The sequence below is a fragment of the Homo sapiens genome, chromosome 2 (genome assembly GCF_000001405.40).
Source record: "Homo sapiens chromosome 2, GRCh38.p14 Primary Assembly".
NCBI lineage: Eukaryota > Metazoa > Chordata > Mammalia > Primates > Hominidae > Homo > Homo sapiens.
In genome coordinates this window covers 126,676,185-126,698,507 of record NC_000002.12, presented here as the reverse complement: position 1 = coordinate 126,698,507, position 22,323 = coordinate 126,676,185, and the positions used below count along the sequence as shown (strand labels likewise).

At 49.3% G+C, this 22,323-nt stretch overlaps 1 protein-coding gene across 5 annotated transcripts in view; it reads right to left on the bottom strand.

The window, feature by feature from the left end:
• GYPC (glycophorin C (Gerbich blood group)) overlaps positions 1,841 to 22,323 on the bottom strand; it is a 40,510-nt gene continuing 20,027 nt past the window's right edge. For 2 of the 5 annotated variants that reach the window (XM_047444034.1, NM_002101.5), the window contains 3 exons: positions 8,197 to 8,253; positions 4,561 to 4,644; positions 1,841 to 2,562 (listed from right to left, as the gene is read on the bottom strand). In XM_047444034.1, the coding sequence (XP_047299990.1) occupies positions 2,366 to 2,562; positions 4,561 to 4,644; positions 8,197 to 8,253 (338 nt within the window). In that variant the 3' untranslated portion in view covers positions 1,841 to 2,365. Of the gene's footprint in view, positions 2,563 to 4,560; positions 4,645 to 8,196; positions 8,254 to 11,862; positions 12,681 to 15,633; positions 15,945 to 22,323 lie in introns of all 5 variants that reach the window. The other 3 variants (XM_047444035.1, NM_001256584.2, NM_016815.4) reach the window with 3 other exon arrangements.

The window sequence follows — 22,323 nt, the reverse complement described above, 5'->3', positions numbered from 1 at the left end:
TCCATGTCATCACTACTGCTGCTGAGCCTGATTCTGGCTGGGTCTGGGGACCCAGTAGACTGGGAGCAGACTGTGTTTCAATTGTTTTCCAGGACACTAGGCAGGCAAAAGAGTGAGGATAAAGGGAGGTGAGGAAGGGGAGGTGAGTGGCCAGGGAGTCAAGCTTAGTATAGACAGCCCCTGGGCCCAATGAGGGAGAAAGGAATGAGTTACCATCATCCTTCCCCCACATAGGCACCTGCTCTCTAGGAGGCCTCGAGAGCCCTGGGCTCATCCTCTTCTGGAGCCTTTTCACCCCAATGAGTGTCTATGTGTAGGTTCTGGTGCCTCCTCTGTGCTCACTGGACAGTGATCTGTGCTCCCAAACCTGGAAGATGTGGGTGCTCAAAAACCTGAAATGGCATTGCCACAGGAGGGGATGTTAGAAACCATTTACCTGAGTGTTTCCAAAATGTGCTCCGAGGACCACTTGGTCCACGAGTTCCTAGCAGGTATCGTGTGAGCAAATGGGGTCTCTGGTTCAACATGCTTGGGAAAGGCTATGTGCACAGCTCCCCTCCCACCAGTGTCAGCATCCACACTGGGCCAGTGAAGACGCTGAGGAGCCTGCACTGCTTTCACTTTACATGATACATCATTTTCTAAACTGACTTGTGCATATTCATTGGGCCTATTTATCGCCATTTTTGCCACACTGGTGTTCTGAAGATCAGTGTGGGCCATGCAGATACAGCCAAGCCCTTTATTTCATAGATGAAGGCCTGCGAGCTCGGGTCACCAGGAAAAGGTCTCACTTTTGGACCAGGCTTCTGCCATCACTGCTTCTGTGAGCTCCCAGCTCATCTCCCCCACCACGGCCCCAGGATTGCCAGCTCCTCTGACAGGTGGACCCCCCACTGAGCTCACATTCCCCGTAATCCTCCCAGGGAGATCTTTGGGACCTTTCTGCCAACTCCCAAGTGGAGATGGTGCAGCCTCAAGAATCCTGAGCCCCAGGGAGTACCTAGGTGACCCCAGCACCTGGCGTGCAGTCTTTAACCTCATAGCTGCTGGTCCTTGGAGTGACAGCTGAGCTGTTGGGAATCTTGGAAAAACTCGCCTGGAAGGGGATGGTTAACCAGTTCATCTTCTCTTCCTGTTACTCTGTGATTTTGAGTGACAGCTACTCCTCAGGAAGTGTGCAGAAGTAGTGCAATGAAGAATGTTTGTTTACCGCTGCACACAGTTGCTGACACTGGAAGACAGGGAGGTCTGAGCACTTGACCCTCAACGCTGGGAGTCAGGCACAACAGAGGTGTCATTATCAGCATCATTTGTACGTGAGGGAGGAGAACACGGGGGCCAGAGGGGTCAAACAAGTTGTTCAAGGTCCTGGGACCAGGAAAGGGGAGCTGGGACCCAAAGCCATCGAGCGGAGCTCTGCAGCCTCTGCTTCCACCCCTGGGTGCCACGGTCACTGTGATTGGAAGGACAAGACTCACTCATATTTTTGGATCAGGTCCATTTGTTCTAATACTGCACCTTGGAAAATCAACACTTCAGCTAGTGCCCTGGCCACTGGGAACGGCTATTTCTAGAGGGACATTTCACCCTTCCTTTTGTTTCCTGCAGCTGGTGCCCCTGTAGGGAAAGGAAAGCTGGTCACTTGTCCTTCCTCCCTTGGCAGGCTTGGGAGCCGCCTGTACTGGCTGTGCTCTCTGGGAACTGGCCCCCACAAGAGCCAGAAATGAACTGTCCTGGCCCCGTCAGAGAATATAATATTGCACAGGTGAAAAGCAAGCCCTGGGTGGCGTTTATCTTTCCCCAGATAACTACAGTAATACTGTTGGACTCGGAATGCTCGGTTACATTTCAAATTTATTTCCAATCGTTCTGAGCTGGATCAATGGCAGACAAAGGTACCTTTTAGCTCTGGCACCTGCTGTTCCCCCCAAATGTCAAGGACTGACATTTGATGCCATTATCCCCAGTCAGCATACAGATGACTTATTTCCTTGCTTCCCCAGCCCCCGGGTACCCCAGCACCCCCTCACCCTCAACAAGGACTTTCCTGCCAGTGAGCTGATGTTGTCCTGCACTGCCCAGGGGGCCCCATGTGCCCAGATTTTCTCCCACCTCCGTGGAGCAAAAGGTGGCCTCTGGGGTGGCCATCGCCTCCCTGGGTCCCTGGGAGTGGCCTCTTGTAGCGCGAGTCCTCCTCCGTTCCTCCCTGGGCAGGCACCTAGTGTTTCCAGGTGGCTATCTCGGGAAGAATCAAGTGCTCTCTCTCTCTGTCTGGTGGTATCAGCAGGGGTGCTGGGCGATGGGGTGTATTTTTCCTGATGGAGATGGGGGAGGCATTCAGGGAAGTGAAGTCTGTTGTCCCTCAAATAAAGTACTCCTTTCTGCTGCTATCACCAGCATCTTGGAGGGCAGGGTCTCCCTGCAGGGCTGCATCTGCACTCTCAGCAAACTCCGTGCCCTTGGCCTCATTGGTGTGGTACGTGCCCTTGTGCCGGTACATGTAGCGCAGCATGACGAAGAGGAGGGAGACTAGGACGATGGCCACAGCAGCAATCACACCTGCAGGTGGGAAGAGGTGCAAGGGTCAGTCTGAGGCAGGGGCTCTGGGGCCTGGGATGGTGGTCAAGACCCACAGGGGTTGTGTGAGGACAGATACAATGCCACAACCAAAAGAGATGCTCCTTGATTTATGATGGGAGCCAGGTTCCTGTAAGCCCATAATAAGTTAAAAATACTGTAAATGAAAAATGCATTTAATACTCCAAACCTACTGAGCATCGAAGCTTGGCCTAGCCTACCTTAAGCAGGCTCAGAACACTTAACATTAACCTAAAGTCATGCAAAATCATCTGACCCAGAGACTATTTTATAATATAGTGTATCATACTATATATTGCCAGCCTGGGAAATGGTCAAAGTTCAAAATTCAAAGTACCGTTTCTACTGAATGCTTTTGCATTCACGCCATTCCAAACTCAAGAACTCATAAGTTGAACCGTGTACACTGGAGACAACTGTACCAACACCAAACAGGCCAGTTCATTCCTTCCCCATGCTTCACCAACCTGTTGTGTGGTGGCACTGTAACCTGTGCCTTCCTAAAATGATTCTCCTTTCCTCTTCCCTCCTCTCCTTCCTTCCCTCCCTTTTCTTTTTCTTCCTCACAGTTCTGCTACTAACCACTCTAAGCACTCTGCAGACACGTTAGAATCATACCCCAGGACTGAACCTTGTTTGGAGATTTTCCGTTCTAAAACCAGGAAAGTCCCAGAAAACAGGGCAGAGCTGGTTGCTCTATGTACACTATACAGGGGGAAAAAAGATGAGGCTATTAACTGTGCTTGGGGAAGGTTGTGTGGTTTGTGTTTTTCAATGGCCTGATGGCTGCTCCTCACCCTACCCTGCTCCCATTCCCTCCTGGGGACTGAGGACGGGGCGAATCTGCTGGAGGAGCAGGACTTGGCCACACAAAGGACTGAAGTGGGAGAGGGTAATGCAGAGGATGCCAAGGTGGTGGCTGTGCGAGGGGCGGTCACCCCTCACTTCTGCTGGGACTCCAGAGGGGTGGGGAAGTACAGTGTGAAGCTGCTCAGGAGGGGTCAGATCACTCAGGACCTTGAAAGTGAGGGGGCAGCAGTCTCATGGGGTGGGGGTGTTTTGAGTTTGGGCATTTACTTTGAAGCTGCAGAGCAAGCCTGTCTTTTCTTAGAATGCAGGTTTATTTGGAGGCCTTGGGGAGGGACTGCTGAAGAATATGGAAAGTCTGAAACTGCTCCCAAGTCCCACCTTTATAGAACAATTTCCTAAACTTCCTACTGCCTTCAGGGGAACACTTGTATCTGCATAATGTTAATAATATCATCTAGGAAGAATAAAAGCTCAGTGGTGCAATGAGTTGGAGAATGCCAGGTTACACAGAGTCCAACAGGTGTCTTTGATTGCTTGCTTCTGCTGCTTTTTCTTTCTTTTCAAATTGTAGATGTTTCCTGAGTTATTAATAAGCTGCTGAGAAGTGTGGATCTCAAAGAAGGTCGCAGAGCACACAGCACCTCCCAAACTTGGTTGTTCTTCAAACACAGTTTGCAGTCACAGCCATGACCCATGGGGAGCCCCTTGCCCAGGGTTCAAAGCAAGGCAAAGGCAGGATCAAGTTTCCTTGAGGATGGAGGGTTGAGGGTCATGGACCCAGGGCAGAAAATAATGTGGGATGAGGGAGATGGTGGAGAAGTCTAAGTAGCCTGGTCAGTCTACCCTCATCTCACCTCCACCCTCAACCTCCTTCACCAAAACTGCTGCCTCTCCAGCTCCTGAGTTCCTGTGAGTCAAAAGCCCTGAGAAAGGCCAATAAATACATACATAGATACGTACGATGTATGCATGTATATATATATTTACCCAGGGCTAGACTCCTCCATTCCACATTCAAAACCACCTCTGAGGGAGAGAAAAAATGGCCACAGCCACCACTGCCCAAGTCCTTAGGTCAGTTCTCCCCTGGATGTTTTCACCAAGGCCCCCCACCCTGGCTGCTTGAAGGGCTCTGTGATGAGAGCTCACCTGCAATGACGACAATGTCCATTATGGTGGGGGTGGAGGTCTCCATTCTGCCATCCGGCCATCCAGACATCCCTGGATCAGGCTCTGTGAACAGAGGACAAGAATCTGAGGTCAGAGAGGAAGATTCTCCATGCCTAGCAGCACCTTGGCCCAAGCTGCATCCTTTGCTCAGGTGTGAGCAGCTCTGAGAATGGGTCCAAGTGGAAAGGAGCAGTGCGGCGCACCCACTGCTCCTAGCAGGGATGCACAGACCAGGAACCAGGTTCTGCTTGGTCACTGACTGGGATGGAACTGTTTGAACCTGAACCACCAGGTCACTCCAGGCCCATTTGAGTTATCTGCCTAATGCCTGCACTGAGAGTGGTGCTGCACGTGGTAGATGCTCAACAGATATCTGTGCTGTGTATGAAGGCAGGGACTCTTGTTGTGTTTAAGAAAGAATGTTTGTGGAGTGTCTGATGCTCACACCAGGTGTCTCAGTCCATTTTGTGTTGCTATAGCTGAATACTTGGGTAATTTATAAAGAAGAGAGGTTTATTTGGCTCACAGTTCTAGTGGCTGGGAAGTCCAAATTGGGCAGCTGCATCTGGTGAGGGCCTCATACTACTCCCACTCATGGCAAAAAGCAGAAGGGGATCTGACATTCGCAAAGAGACCACAAGGTGATATAGAAAGCAAGAGAGTTTAGAAAGCTGAATTTGCTTTTATAACAACCTGCTCTCCAGTGACTAATCCAGTCTCACGACAGCTAGAACTCCCTCCCTCCCTCAAGGGGGTATTAATGTATGCATGAGGGATCTGCCCCTGTGACTCAAATATCTCCCACTAGGTCCCACCTCCCATCACTGCCACCTTGGGAATCAGATTTCAACATGAGCTTTTGCAGGGTCAAACCACATCCAAACCATAGCACCAGGTGTTGCTTTAACTGCCTTCTATCTACTCTATCATGCAGTCTTCACATCCATCCTATGAGGTGCCTGGTGTTAATGGCCCATCTCACAGGAAGAACACCAAGGTTCAGAGACGTGATGTGCCCTTGATCACACAGCTCATCCGATATCAGGTCAGGACTTGGCCAGTGCTCTTGCCTCTGGAGTGCACTTTCTCTCTTGGAGAAGCCCTTCCCAGGGCTCCTGTCTGAGGAGTCATTCCTGAAGCCCTCCCATAGGTCTTTACATTGACTCTGCTGTGGGAAGGACCACTCTATGACACTATCCAAGTTACTGAGTGTGTTTTTTCACAGCTTAATGACCTGGCCAAAGAGGGTAGGATGTCTAGGACATTGGGGACCGGGATGTTTCCTAGAGCTGCTGCACAGAATGCCTTCTCTCCTCTGGGAGATGATTGTGAAGAAGGATTTATTGGATCACAGAAATATCAGTGTTAACATAGGAAATCCCACGTTCCCATTACAATGGCTCTACATAATAAAACAGAGAAGGATGCTTCATAATAGTCATTTCCACTCAGATAATCACTTTAATTATAGTGCTATGAGGTCATTCTCCCCAGTGCAGCTGCCAGATGCCTCTTTCTTATAAGTAACTGCCTGCTGGAGTCAGGAGTCATAATGGGTGAGGGGAAAACAGACTCCCAGCTAGGGGTCCACAGCAGGACACAGATGGGCCAAGCTAGGGGTGTCTGGGGCCACCAAGGAGCTTGGAGGTGGGGAAGAAGATAATACAAGGCACTGAGGCAGCCCAGGGACCCAGTGAACACTGGCTCAGGATCTGGGTCTCGGGAGCCAGGAACCAGGCAGGGTATAGGATCCAGCATTCACGGTGTTTCTCAGTAGCAAGACCTGAAGCAAGGGCCGTAGCAAGTTCAAGTGGGTGCTAGACTTTATTATATAGAGTGAACAAGTGCAGCCTCCAGTTTAGTATCTAGCACATAGTAGGTACTCAATAAATATTCACTGAATGCATGAGTAAATGCATGCATATATAAATGAATGGATTTAGTGGTGGGGTTCTAGACTTTTCCAATCAACAAGCACCTCAAAGTTCAGAAAGAAAGAATAACACCTTGCTTAAGTAGGCATGGATGGTTATAGAAGCTCAAATACCCAGAACTGCCCTCAGAAATTTTCCAGGTGAAGACAGCATTTATTAGGACAGTTTGTCCAACACAATCAGCGTTAGAAGAGACTGTTATTTCCTCTTCCTTTAAAACAACTAACAATCGCTTACTAGGTGCCAGGTGCAGGTCTCAACATTTAAAGCAATTTAACATGGTCCTTGCAACAGTTGCAAGAACACTGCTTGGAGATTATTCATTCTAAAACCAGGGAAGTCCCAGAAAACAGGGCAGAGCTGGTTGCTGTATGTACACTATACAGGGGGAAAAATGAGGCTATTAACTGTGCTTGGGGCAGGTTGTGTGGTTTGTGTTTTTCAATGGCCCGATGACTGCTCCTCAGCCTACCCTGCTCCCATTCCCTCCTGGCGATTGAGGACTGGGGTGAGTCTGCAGGAGGAGCAGGACTTGGCCACACAAAGGACTGAAGTGGGAGAGGGTAACGCAGAGAATGCCAAGGTGTTGGCTGTGCGAGGGGCAGTCACCCCTCACTTCTGCTGGGACTCCAGAGGGGTGGGGAAGTACAGTGTAAGGCTGCTCAGGAGGGGTCAGATCACTCAGGACCTTGAGAGTGAGGGGGCAGCAGTCTCATGGGGTGGGGGTGTTTTGAGTTTGGGCATTTACTTTGAAGCTGCAGAGCAAGCCTCTGTCTTTTCTTAGAATGCAGGTTTATTTGGAGGCCTTGGGGAGGGACTGCTGAAGAATATGGAAAGTCTGAAACTGCTCCCAAGTCCCACCTTTATAGAACAATTTCCTAAACTTCCTACTGCCTTCAGGGGAACACTTGTATCTGCATAATGTTAATAATATCACCTAGGAAGAATAAAAGCTCAGTGGTGCAATGAGTTGGAGAATGCCAGGTTACACAGAGTCCAACAGGTGTCTTTGATTGCTTGCTTCTGCTGCTTTTTCTTTCTTTTCAAATTGTAGATGTTTCCTGAGTTATTAATAAGCTGCTGAGAAGTGTGGATCTCAAAGAAGGTCGCAGAGCACACAGCACCTCCCAAACTTGGTTGTTCTTCAAACACAGTTTGCAGTCACAGCCATGACCCATGGGGAGCCCGTTGCTCAGGGTTCAAAGCAAGGCAAAGGCAGGCTCAAGTTTCCTTGAGGATGGAGGGTTGGGGGTCATGGACCCAGGGAAGAAAATAATGTGGGATGAGGGAGACGGTGGAGAAGTCTAAGTAGCCTGGTCAGTCTACCCTCATCTCACCTCCACCCTCAACCTCCCTCACCAAAACTGCTGCCTCTCCAGCTCCTGAGTTCCTGTGAGTCAACAGCCCTGAGAAAGGCCAATAAATATAAATACAGATACATATGACATACCTATGTATATTTATTTACCCAGGGGTAGACTCCTCCATTCCACATTCAAAACCACCTCTGAGGGAGAGAAAAAATGGCCACAGCCACCCCTGTCCAAGTCCTTAGGTCAGTTCTCCCCTGGATGTTTTCACCAAGTCCCCCAACCCTGGCTGCTTAAAGGGCTCTGTGATGAGAGCTCATCTGAAGTCACGGCAGTTTCCATTATGGTGAGGCTCTGTGATGAGAACTCACCTGCAATGGTGGTAGTATGCATTGTGGTGGAGGCAGAGGCCATCCCCGGATCAGGCTCTGTGAACAGAGGACAAGAATCTGAGGTCAGAGAGGAAGACTCTCCATGCCTAGCAGCACCTTGGCCCAAGCTGCATCCTTTGCTCAGGTGTGAGCAGCTCTGAGAATGGGTTCAAGTGGACAGAGACAGTGTGGTGCACCCACCGACTCCTAGCAGGGGTGCACAGACCAGGAACCAGGTTCTGCTTGGTCACTGACTGGGATGGAACTGTTTGAACCTGAACCACCAGGTCACTCCAGGCCCATTTAAGTTCTCTGCAGTATGCCTCCACTGAGAGTGGTGCCTGCATGTGGTAGATGCTCAACAGATATCTGTGCTGTGTATGAAGGCAGGGACTCTTGTTGTGTTTAAGAAAGAATGTTTGTGGAGTGTCTGATGCTCACACCAGGTGTCTCAGTCCAATTTGAGTTGCTATAGCTGAATACTTGGGTAATTTGTAAAGAAGAGAGGTTTGTTTGGCTCACAGTTCTAGTGGCTGGGAAGTCCAAATTGGGCAGCTGCATCTGGTGAGGGCCTCATACTGCTCCCACTCATGGCAAAAAGCAGAAGGGGATCTGACATTCGCAAAGAGACCACAAGGTGATATAGAAAGCAAGAGAGTTTAGAAAGCTGAATTTGCTTTTATAACAACCTGCTCTCCAGTGACTAATCCAGTCTCACGACAGCTAGAACTCCCTCCCTCCCTCAAGGGGGTATTAATGTATGCATGAGGGATCTGCCCCTGTGACTCAACTATCCCCCACTAGGTCCCACCTCCCATCACTGCCACCTTGGGAACCAAATTTCAACATGAGCTTTTGCAGGGTCAAACCACATCCAAACCATAGCACCAGGTGTTGCTTTAACTGCCTTCTATCTACTCTATCATGCAGTCTTCACATCCATCCTATGAGGTGCCTGGTGTTATTGGCCCATCTCACAGGAAGAACACCAAGGCTCAGAGACGTGATGTGCCCATGATCACACAGCTCATCCGGTATCAGGTCAGGACTTGGCCAGTGCTCTTGCCTCTGGAGTGCACTTTCTCTCTTGGAGAAGCCCTTCCCAGGGCTCCTGTCTGAGGAGTCATTCCTGAAGCCCTCCCATAGGTCTTTACATTGACTCTGCTGTGGGAAGGACCACTCTATGACATTATCCAAGTTACTGAGTGTGTTTTTTCACAGCTTAATGGCCTGGCCAAAGAGGGTAGGATGTCTAGGACATTGGGGACCTGATGTTTCCTAGAGCTGCTGCACAGAATGCCTTCTTTCCTCTGGGAGATGATTGTGAAGAAGGATTTATTGGATCACAGAAATATCAGCATTAACATAGGAAATCCCGTATTCCCATTACAATGGCTCTACATAATAAAACAGAGAAGGATGCTTCATAATAGTCATTTCCACTCAGATGATCACTTTAATTATAGTGCTATGAGGTCATTCTCCCCAGTGCAGCTGCCAGATGCCTCTTTCTTATAAGTAACTGCCTGCTGGAGTCAGGAGTCATAGTGGGTGAGGGGAAAACAGACTCCCAGCTAGGGGTCCACAGCAGGAAGCAGGTGGGCCAAGCTAGTGGTGTCTGGGGCCACCAAGGAGCTTGGAGGTGGGGAAGAAGATAATACAAGGCACTGAGGCCGCCAAGAGACCCAGTGAACTCTGGGTCTGGAGTCAGCACCTTGGGAACCAGGAACCAGGCAGGGTAGAGGATCCAGCATTCACAGTGCTTCTCAGTAGCAAGACCTGAAGCAGGAGCCATAGCAAGTTCAAGTGGGTGCTAGACTTTATTACAGTGAACAAGTGCAGCCTCCAATTTAGTATCTAGCTCATAGTAGGTACTCAATAAATATTCACTGAATGCATGAGTAAATGCATGCATGTATAAATGAATGGATTTAGTGGTGGAGTTCTAGACTTTTCTAACCACTATGCACCTCAAAGTTCGGAAAGAAAGAATAACATCTTGCTTAAGTAGGCATGGATGGTTATAGAAGCTCAAATACCCAGAACTGCCCTTAGAAATTTTCCAGGTAAAGACCAGCATTTCTTATGACAGTTTGTCCAACACAATCAGGGTTAGAAGGGACTGTTATTTTCCCTTCCTTTAAAACAGTTAATAATTTCATACTAAATGCCAGGTGCTGCTCTCAACATTTAATGTATTTTAACTCAGACCTTGCAACATTTCCATTCGATAGGAGTTATTATTAGCCCCATTTTCCAGATTTGGCAGCTGCGTCCCAGAAAAGTGTTATTTTCCCCGGCTTGTACCTTGAGAGTCAGAAGTCAATCATTTGAAGCCCTGGCAGCCTTGAGTCAGTGTGTTTAGCCTTACAGGGCACTGCAAAGTGTAGAGCCTTGGTAAGCTGGTTTCCAGGTGAGATATTTGGCTTGAACAACTTGGGGTGCATTTCTTGGCTTCTGGTTAGGGACCTTGTACTCAAATCTGTATACTGGGAGACTACACACACTTCCAGCAGGGCAGCCAGGCTGGGAGGGGAGGTAGGACCTGAGAGCTTCGGGGCCTCATTGGGAGACCATTGGGATTGCCAGCTGGGCCTCCCAATGTGGGCTCCCTCCAAGCTCATGCCCTCTGAGGAGCGTGGTGGGCAGGAAAGTTCCCTCAGCTGGAACTACTCTCTCCATGCCCCCCACCCCACCAAGTGTGTGGAGCTGAATTTACACATGTTTCACAATGTGACAGACTCCAGGGGAGTGACATTTCAGCCCAACCAGAGCTGCCCTATATTGATAGATCAGAATCAGCATAGAGAGGAAGCTCAAGGCTGTCTGGGAAGGTGTGGATGCTGTGAGACAGCAATTCTCAAAGCATAGTCTCTGGATACACAGCATCCTCTGGGAGCCTGTTAGAAATAGAAATTCTCAGGCCCCAGCCCAGACCTACTGAAGAAAAACACTAGGACTGGGACCCAGTAATTACTATAGTAGATTCTGATTCATGCTGTAGGCTGGGAAGTGCTGGTGTAAAGAGGGCTTCCAGAAGCGGTGACATCAGGATTAGTCCTTTAAGGGCAAATAGGAGTTTGCTGCACAAAGCCTATAAGCATTCCAGGCAGAGAGCTCAGCATCTAAGGCAGCTCTCCCCACTTCTCAGCTTTCTCCCCAGTGTCTGCTTGCCATCCACGGCTCCAAGGCTCCGGAAGCCTCTGGAGATGGAGGGGTGAGAGCCCCCCTTGGCGCACTCCCTTACACTGTACCCATTCAGCTAGCAGCAGTGATATCAGGTCTTTGGAGAAGACTGGCTGAGTGAGCTCAGATCCAGCCCAGAAAGTAGGTGGTTGGTCTGCATCCAGCTTAAGGGGCCTGGAATGAAAGCCTGCCCCTTGCTGGAGCTGAGGGATACTTCTGAGGTTGAGATTAGGATCATGCTGAGCTCAGCAACTAGGATGGGGGTGATCTGCGGGCAGCCTTGGGGGTGGGTTCATGGCAGAATAAGGTGTTGATTACGGCCAAGCTTGGGTCTGGTATCAGAAATAGACAATTACCCAGCACAACGATTGGACAGACATGAGAGGACCTATTTTTTGGAAAGACCCAAGCATCCTACTTTTTTTCTTCCCAGCCCTCCTCCAGGTTGCAAGGTCCCCCCGGCCCCCTGCAACACCCTACCAGACAGGAAGCTCCACACGTTCAGGCTTGTCTTGCTCACAACTCTATACTCAGCATTAGACTGGGTGCCTGGCACTGAATGACAACTGCTGAATGTTTGAAAGCCTTCTGGGGAACCACGAACCAACTAAACTGCAGCCTTCACTATGCTCATCTTTGTGGAGTTGGGAGTGGCTTTTCATCCATGGGATTTGCCATTGGCTACAGTCATTCCTACTAACTCTCTATGTCCTCAGGATGTCAGCTGTCCATTCTCTGGCAGAAGGCAGCCACCCCTGGAGGCAGCGGGGCACACAGGCACAACCCTGCAGTGCGGGCAGTGCTCTCTGCTTCAGTTGGCAGCTTGAGTGCAGCTGTTGGGGTGCAGAACCTCAGTTGCAATGGATTCTCAGGGCCAGTGGTATTTTTCAGATGTGGACGGAGAGCAGGGGTCAGGTGCTAGCCCTGAGGCTGGAAGTCACACTCCTCTGTTGCCACCAAGAGCCTCTCTTCTCTTGCATTTTCAGATGACACTGTGCTAAAAAGTTCTCTTTTTTTCCTGCGTGGGCTGGTCTTTACATTTCCCGGCCCATCTCCTATGGCTCCCCTCTGCCATAGGAGTTGTTGAAGGGGTTCCCCACTTCCTGTCTTCCTCCTGTCCATCTGTCCCAGCAAAGAAGGAAGAATTCAGGCACAGGGTGAGGGCTCGAAGGAGGGGAGTTGAGAGTGAGGATGGCTTCAGACTAGAACACCTAGGTGTTCTGGGAGGAGGAAGATGATTTCAGCCTCAAAATCATGACAGGAAATGCAGGTGTTTCATGGGGGTCCTTGGAGACTTCCTGCAATGACAAACCTTGTTGATGACAGTGATGCAGCAGCAACAGCAACGTTGACTGCTTGACAGTTGGCCAGGTGCTGTGGCAGTTACCTGGAGTGTTCAATTGCGAGGAACCTACAAGCCTGGTTAGAAAAGTCAATTTACCAGGCCGGGTGCAGTGGCTCATGCCTGTAATCCCAACTTTGGGAGGCTGAGGTGGGTGGAACACCTGAGGTCAGGAGTTCAAGACCAGCCTGACCAACATGGTGAAATTCCATCTCTACTAAAAATACAAAAATTAGTTGGGCATGCTGGCGGGTGCCTGTAATCCCAGCTACTCAGGAGGCTAAGGCAGGAGAATCACTTGAACCTGGGAGGTGGAGGTTGTAGTGAGCTGAGATTGCATCATTGCACTCCAACCTGGGCGACAGAGTGAGAATCCCTCTCAAAAAAAAAAAAGAAAGAAAGAAAAGTCAATTTAACAAGCACTCTGAAGCAGAAAGGCTTTGTGCAAATCTGATTTGGGGTTCAAGAGCCAGACAGCAATGGGGGAAGGAACAGTAACCTTTGGGGACATGGTAAGTGCTTCTCAGCTAGCACTGTGGTTTTTCTTCCTACTCTAGATTCCTGAGCATCCTTGCACAAGTGAAGCAGAAATCAGATGAGAGTTGAAGTACATTAACTAACTTTTCTTTTTGGTAGGAAAGGTCAAATGCGTTTACTTGCCCTTGATGGCTGGCTATCATTGCTTCCGGAAAAGACGCAGTGTACAGGCTGTAGGGTCTCAGAATAAAGTGCCCCCAAGAAATAAATGAATAGCTTATTACCCACGCATCCATTTCTCCTAGAAGCCAGCCAGTGTTGGCTAAGCAGTTAGCATTTATTCAGCCACAGAGTTACAGGGGAGAGGAGAATATGGTGCGCGTCCCCCTGAAGCATATGACTTGGCTGGGGAGGTGCAAAAGTCAGACTGCCCACAGTCTCTATGTGATGAAGCGTCAAAATGAGCATTGACGAGGTGCTAGGGAGACTTGTGGAGACACAACTGTGAGACTGAGCCCCAGGACTCTAGGATTCTATGGCAATGGGGATGCTCATAATTGTGCCGGTTCATTCTTTCCTTCAGCAAACCTTTTGTAGCACCTTCTACGCTCCAGCCATATGCTCCACCGTTAAGGCCAAGTCCCTGCCATCAGGAGCACGCTGTGTAACCGACAAGGACAAATGCATGTGGGTAAGTTGGGAAAAGGTTGCTCTCTGTTGGAACCCATAGATCTCCAGTATCCTCAGGAAAGGCTTCCTGAAGAGGTGGCCCCAAGTCTGTCCTTCTGAGATAGTGGGTGGGCAATGCCAGTGTGGTAGTGGGCATGGTGGTGGGAGGGATACATGAAGGGAAGGCCATGATGATAGAGTGGTCAGTAAGCCTCTGGGTTGGGTGGAGAGCTTCCCTGGATGCCTGATCACCATGGGCTCCAGGGACCTGCTGGATGTATGCTATGAGGGCTTCAATCTGCCGTCACTCTCAGGCATGGCCACTCTTCCTATCTGTGCATAAAGCACATGTGCATTCGTCTGGTCTTGCAGATGGAATACACAGGTGAGGTTGATGTGAACTTGACCAGCCTGTTCAGAACGTGTCTGAAAGTCTCAAGGTCAAAATGATTGCCCTGAAGGTCTGTATGGGTGACCTTACAACAGTCCCCCAACAATCCCCAAGGCTGCCAAGGTGCTGTGCAATTTAGCTGTACTGCTTTGACACTCTATAAGATGATCAGCAGTGCTTTCCTCCTCCTAACCCTTATCCGGTCTTATCTGCTGCTGCGGTATCAAAACACCACATCGATGACAGAATTGGACCCACGCAGGCTGCACTGCACCATCTGGATGGAAGTGTAGAGGCCTGCAAAGGTGAGGGGGGAGGAGATGTGGCCTCTCTGCCCTGGAGAAGACAGTCATTCCTATGTCAGTAAATTGGGATGAAGCAGAGGCTCAACACTCAGAAGGCAGAGTCAGGAAAGGACATCTCTTCCTTATGTACATCTTGGAGTCTTGCTGGATAACTTTTCATACCTAGTCACTTGCTTTTGGGATGTACTCCCAGGAGGGGAACTGGAAAGAAAGTGAGGCTGCCGTGACTTAGAACTTGAAATGTCTGGTTCCAGGGTTTCCTCTGTATAGATTTCCCTGTTACTCGCCCTGAGCCTTAGAAAAAAAATTTAAACAGAACCTTACTTCAACACCATAACCAATCTGCCTCAGTTGAGCTATGACATCTAAGTAAAAGGAAAGAGTGCTTTTTCTCCCTTGTGAGGCGAGAGTATGAAAAAGTGGAACCATCGTCTCCAAAGTCCAGGATCCTGACAACAGCAGAAATCAGCAAGGCACTCTGAAGGAGGAAGAATCTGGGGATAAAAGCTGGCTGAGCAAGGTGGAGTTGCCCTTGTCCACCACTGGGGAGAGGACTTTGTCAGCTGTGGATGGTGCAGCATTTGTAGTTTATCAGGAAAGCAGCAAATATCCTTTTTTTTTTGAGACAGAGTCTCGCTCTGTTGCCCAGGCTGGAGTGCAATGGCGTGACCTAGACTCACTGCAACCTCTGCCCCCCAGGTTCAAGTGATTCTCCCTGCCTCAGCCTCCCGAGTAGCTGGGATTACAGGCACTTGCCACCATGTCTGGCTAATTTTTGTATTTTCAGTAGAGATGGGTTTTTCGCCATGTTGCCCAGGCTGGTCTCGAACTCCTGACTTCACATGATCCGCCCGCCTTGGCCTCCCAAAGTGTTGGGATTACAGGCATGAGCCATCTCACCTGTTCACAAATATCCTTCTTTACTCATGGCATAGACTGAAGGAAAGCAGAACCACAATTCCCCCAGCCTGACCCCCAGCAGACACACCCTGCCGGAAGATTTCTAGGGAAATCAAATTTGAAAGAGGCAGGAAGAGTGGGGAGGAGGCGATTCTAGTGGCTCTTACGTCTGGGAAGCTCCTGGGGCTTGGTCAGCATCTGGCTGCTGGAGATGGGTAGGGACTGGAGGGGGTGTCTGGGGTCAGCAGGCAACTGAAGAAGCTCAGGCTTAAGACAACGCCCAGACTGTTGAAAGGAGCCAGGTCAATGTGTTCTTCCTGGAAGCAGAAAGCTGCCCTGAACAGTTGGCGTGGCTTCAGCACACTAGCAGGGCAGCCCCCACTGTGTAACCTCTGACTTGCCCCTGCATCTTCATCACGCTGAGGGATCTTCACAGCGGAAGTGGAAGGAGAACAGAGTCCTTAAGAGGGAACTGAAGCTGAGGGGAGAAGCGGGAGATACCATCTGAGAGTGAGCGGCAACCAGGCTCTCAAGAACCCCACCCTGACAGAGATGAGGACCGGGCACAGTGGAGGACTCGGAGAATCTATTCCTTCTGCGTGTCCCCTGTCTACCCCCATGCCTGGTGCTGGGTTCAGGGATTTGGGGCCCTTGTGCCGGGGTCTGGTCCATGCACACACCCTTCTGCTCCATAGCTCCTGAGACTGCAGTCTCCTTGGCCTTGTTGTTGGGAAATTAAGCATGTGTTCCCAGCTGATCCACCTACCAGACCACTGCTGATTGATTTAAGGATAGCTGAGCTCCAGTGAGGCAGCAGGGAAATGCTTCTCCAAAAATAGGTGTTTGGGGTACCAAAATGGCAAAGAAAATGGCTGTGTGCAGGTGTTCTGAGGAGCCAGGAAGGCCCGTGTATCCCAATCAGCATCTGCTTGACTTGCCAGCTCCAAGCTCCACCGGAGGTGGCTGGAGCGCAGAACACCCTGGACACACCTATTTCCAGTCCCAGCTCCACCCAGACACCTCCCTGAGGAGGGTGAGGGTGTGCAATCCTGCGCACCATGCTCCTGGGGTCACCCATCTGCCAGGCTCAGGGCCAGGCATCTGGCCGCCCTGCTGTGAAGTCAGCACACTTGCCAGGCATGGCGCAGACAGGTGAGGGAGTGGCCCCTCAGTGACGATACTCATGGCCAGACCATTTTGAGGAATGCTATGTAGCTTTTCTTTCTTTTCTTTTCTTTCTTTCTTTCTTTTTTTTTTTTTTTTGGATGAAGTTTTTGCTCTGTTGCCCAGGCTGGAGTGCAATGGCGCAATCTTGGCTCACTGCAAACCATGGTTTCTTCACATGTAAAACCCGGTGGCACAACAGTGTAGCCCCATTGTAAGCTAGTTTGTGGTACACAGTGCCTGACATAGGTCAGGCTATTTGAATATTAATTATTCTCATCGTCGATATGTCAAAGTGGGATTCCTAGAAACAAGTACCTTCAATACTCTGGTATACTATTTGGCATATGTATCACCCTGAGAATCAAGCAATCCACTTCTAGGAATTGATCCTAGAGAAACAATCTGGAACAGGAACAAAAGTCCGTGCTCGGGAAAGTAGATGGTAATGCAGTCTAAAATGAAAAATTGAAGAGAGAGAGCAATCTAAATGTTCCATATTTGGGCATTGGTTATGTCAATTATGATACCCCCATATGACCCAGTATTATGCAGTTAGGGAAGGGGTGCACGTGAACTTAGCAACAGGAAGAAATGCTTAGGGTATTGATGTTAAGTGAAGAAAACGGGACCCTCTAAATAGAAATGATGAAAAATATTCCACAAAAACCTTAAAACAAAGCGATGAAAAGAAATACGCTTCAAATGTTAAGTACCGGCTTTTAAGAAGTAGACGGGTTAGGAGTGGTTTTGTTTACTTCTAACATATGGCTGTCTGTATTTTCCAAGTCATCTACAAAAAACGTGTTATTTTTACAGTGAAGAAACGGGGATGAATCTTCAGAACTGGCTATTGTCTTGAAGAATCTTCAAAGTCGCCGACTAGAAGGTCTGTTAAGGTCCCTTCCCGCCGCCCTGACCTGCCCGCCTTGCTCCAGGTTCCCACTGGATGCCTGCACCTGCTTGGCGGTGTCTCCCGTGAGCAGGCGTCAGGCTGTTGTTGGATAGTAGGACCATGACCACCCTCTCTGAATGGCCCTCTGAGTCTCGTGTCCACACATCCTTTGCCTAACCTGGTTAGGAGATGCTCCAAGTAGTCATTTTCATTTTCAAGAAAGACATGCATGTTGTGGAAAAGAGACAGTACATTCAGTGACCACTGCTCCTTTCACCCTTTCCCTGGGCTGCAATTGCACACTGAGAAATGTGCGCTGTGGCTTCAGTCCATGGTTCACCCCCAGTCCCTTGCTTCTGCAGGTGGAAATGAAGGGAAGTTCTGACCTCTCAGGGAGCAGGTCAGAGGCTGGGCATTTGGAATCACAGGGCCGCTGGCCACAGACTTTGCTTCTCGAGCTCCCTGAGTTTGTTATTGGTGTGTTACTCAGCTGTCCTCTCAGGGGTCTCCAGTGTGAACGGTTTCCTAGAGACACTGGAAAGGTTCCTCTCACTTCCTATGCTCATTGAGAGTCCGCTGCCAGGATTATTTGAGGGGAGGCTCCGGGTTGTCCCTTGGATTTTGGGCTCATGGAGGGAAACCCTACACTGAAGTGTGTAGACTCAGTTTCCCCTCTTGGCCTCATCTTTCTCCATCTCCTCCTCTGACAATTCCTGTGACCATCTTCAACCTCTTCATCCTTATTCACATCATTGGCTTCCTTTTCCAAGATATAATGAATCTTTCTTTCATTAACAATTTGGCTCCACAGTTTTGTTTCAATATTTATAAAGAAATATGAGATTTGGCTCCTGGATGCAATGATCACTCTGGACCCCCCACTGGAGTTGTGCATGTACAGTGAGTGATTAATACTATGGCCTCGGAACCTGAGTTGCATGGGATGGAAGTGAGGAAACACCGTAAAGAGGTAAAAATCATTGTTAGCTTACCTGACTGTACAAAAACAGGCCACAGGTTGCATTTGGCCCACAAGTTGTAGTTTGCTGAACAACCTGTTCATATCACCATTAAGATGCTTTTTCTGTCTCTGAATTAATTTTTTTTTAGATGGATTTTTCACTCTTGTTGCCCAGGCTGGAGGGCAGTGGCACGATCTCGGCTCACTGCAACCTCCGCCTCCTGGATTGAAGCGATTCTCCTGCCTCAGCCTCCGGAGTAGTTGAGATTACAGGTATGCACCACCACACCTGGCAAATTTTGTGTTTTTAGAGACGGGGTTTCTCCTTGTTGGTCAGGCTGGTCTCAAACACCCGACCTCAGGTGATCCACCCGCCTCGGCCTCCCAAAGCGCTTGTATTACAGGTGTCAGCCACCAGGCCCAGCCAACTCTGCACTAATTTTTGAGCTCCTAGAAGACACTGACTGTGTTTTTTTGCTTTAGCATCTGAATGAATGAGTGATGTTGCTTAAAATATCCTCTGACATATCCTGGCTGATCCTTCTCTCAATTTTTTTTTCTTTCTCTACACACCTGCCTCTCAGATGCTGGATAAATAACCTTCCTAAGATTCTCTAAGTCGCTCAATAGTCACTCCATAGATGTATACTATGCTTCCAATGACATTAATGACTGTCATTTATCAAGTTCCTGGTGTGCACCAGACCTTTGTAGAGTCCTGGAGACACAGAGGTGAAGCTGGCATCCTCTGCATGTGAGCCTGTGTGGGCCCGTGTGTGCTCACACATGTGATCTGGGTTCAGACCATTTGGCCCCTGTGCAGCTTGGTGTCACATTTGGGTGCCCTTCGAGGTACCTGCTCCCCAGACAGATGCTGCGTGCTAATCTTTACCACTTCTCTGGAGGACTTAATTCATTTAAAAAATCATATAATTGCATTTTCAGCATAATTAGGTACTTAATTACATGACTAAATGTCCTCGATTGGGCTGCATGTGTAAATAATGATGATTTAGTTAGGTACGCTTTGTTATTGGGTTTCCAGAAGGCTCATCAGTTGGTTAACAGGATGTGGAAAGTGTTTTTCTCCTTCCTCCACCGGGTTTGACAGGCAGGAGCAGCAGAGCCCGTGTGGGGAGTGGGCAGGACCGCAGGGGCGGCAGGAGGCAGGAGGGAACATTCTGCTGCCTGGAAACTCAGTTCAAACATTCAGGAGGATTGGCTCCAAGGAGGAGGTTCGTGGCTACATCCCAAGGCAGATAGCCGTGCTTCCCCAGGAGATGTGCTGAGGAAGGGGAGGCCAAAGTGGCCCAGAGACAACAGGACCCACAGTTTATGGGCACAAAGGGTGGAGATGCAGTGGTGAAGGATGCTGGAAGGAAGGAAAAGTGCAGGAGCAGGATGCAGGGGGCCGCTTCTCCTCATTCCCTAGAAGGCTTCTCCTCCTCCCTAGCCAGAGAGGGCTCCGTGAGAACTCAAGGGTTCAGGAAAGGCCACTGCATTCTCCCTACTCAGGCCGGCCAGAGGCACACTGGCTCTGTATGAGCCAGAGGCACACAGGCTCAGTGGGATGGGGAGGGAGCCTGCAGCAGAGGGTGGTGACCAGGCTCGCAGGAAAGGATGCCTGTGAAGGTTGTGGGTAGTGTATACACTGTACATCTTAGCCATTGCTGTTGGTGATGCTGTGATCTGTCTTTTATGTCAGACTCGCATTTGAAAGCCTGTTGGAAAGAAGGGGGGCATTTATTTTTTTCTTTCTTTTCTTTTCTTTCTTTCCTCTTTCCTTTCCTTTCCTTTTTTGAGATGGAGTCTTGGTCTGTGGCCCAGGCTGGAGTGCAGTGGTGCCATCTCGGCTCACTGCAAGCTCCGCCTCCTGGGTTCAAGTGATTCTCCTGCCTCAGCCTCCTGAGTAGCTGGGATTACAGGTGCGTGCCACCAGGGCCGGCTAATTTTCTTGTATTTTTAGTAGAGAAGGGGTTTCACCGTGTTAGCCAGGATGGTCTTGATCTCCTGACCTCGTGATCCGCCCACCTTGGCCTCCCAAAGTGCTGGGATTACAGGCGTGAGCCGCTGCACCCGGCCGATGGGGGACATTTTCACCTGAATATTGGACAGCTATGTTTGGGGCAGTGGTGAAGACAAATGCACACCAACAAATGGCTCTTTCCAAAAAGCATCTTAAAAGTGCTTTAAGGGTGCATCCTGATAGGTGGCATAGGGAGCATGCGTTTTGGTGCCAGAGAGATTTGACAGTAAGTCCTGGTGCTCTGGGTCCCAACTCCAAGCACCCCTCCCGGACCCTCGTGTGCTCATCCCTAGCGAAGGATTACGGCAGGCAACACATACAAAGCAGCACTGAGTGTGGCTCTCGGGGTGTTGCCCGGCACATGGGAGCTATTCTTATTGTCCTCATATATTTAAGGATGAACATACACACTCACACACTCACACACATACACTCACATACACACACTCACATACACACAGACTCACACACACACAGACTCACACACACTCTCATACACACACTCAGACTCACACGTGCTCACACACACACTGTCACACTCTTATACACACACACTCCTACTCTCTCACATTCTCTCACACACTTACACACTCTAACACACTAATAAACACACTCACACTCCTACTCATTCTCTCACACTCACACACACATTCTTTCTTACACACTATCACACACATTCTCACACACACTCACACACTCTAACACACTCACACACTCTCACATGCACTCACACACTTATACACATATACTCTTACACACACTCTCCCACATATGCACACACAGGCACACATGCACACACACACTCTCATGCACATTCCTCTCACACTTTTCCACATATGCACAGACAGGTGCACACACAAACATGCACACACACTGACACACACACACAGCCTCAGGGGACAGAAGCCTAGACTTGGTCTATGGGAAGATAGGGTGTGGCAGCCTGGCTTCAGGGGCCAGTTCCTGTGACTGGGGCAGGCAGGGAGTACTTTATCTCCTGGAGCAGCTGGGTACCTTGAGCACTTCCAGCTGTGCTGTGAACCCTCCTTTGTCCTCCAATCCTGTCTTCTGGGTATCAGGGCAGGAAAGAAGCTTCAGGAAGTTACCAATTCAATTTCATTTTGCTTCTGAAACAGAGCCAGAAAGCCACCTGCCCTGGCTCAAGTGCCCATCCTGTCCTTTCTCTGTGCTTAGGGAGAAAAAGCCATCTCTCTTCACTGTCCCTGCCCCACCACCCCTCTGCCACATCTTCCCAGTGTTTTTCTAGCAATGAAAATCCTCTAAAATACGTCTCAATCCATCACCCTGGCAAGCTCCTGCTCCATCTTCCCAGCCCCCTATCCAGGTCTTGTGATTTATATTTGCCCAACATTAATCTTTTAAAGGCAAAGAAGCCATAAACACATACATAACTCTGCCTCCTGTCAGAAGAAATCCCATGACACAAATCAACTGCCATCTAAATTAGATGCTTCTTTCATAGAAAGTGATAAATGCACTAGAGACTAATCAAAGAAAAGTCAACTAACTTAGACTTTGTTTCACTTCAGGATTTTGTAGTTGATGTGGTTGAAGTTGGACAACCAGTTAATGTCTAATGATCAACAGGAATGGGTGAATTGGCCCAGTCCTGCTGTTTTGATGCTTCTAATGTAAACAGGAGGCTTTGTTCATCATTTATCATCAGGGTTCTTAGCACTTCAAAAGCAAGTTTGAAAGCTAACACTTAATTTTAGGAGAAGAAGGGTAAGCACAAACACAATCTACTCTTCTGTCAGACTGGTGTGCTAATTTCCTTGATAAAGGCAAGA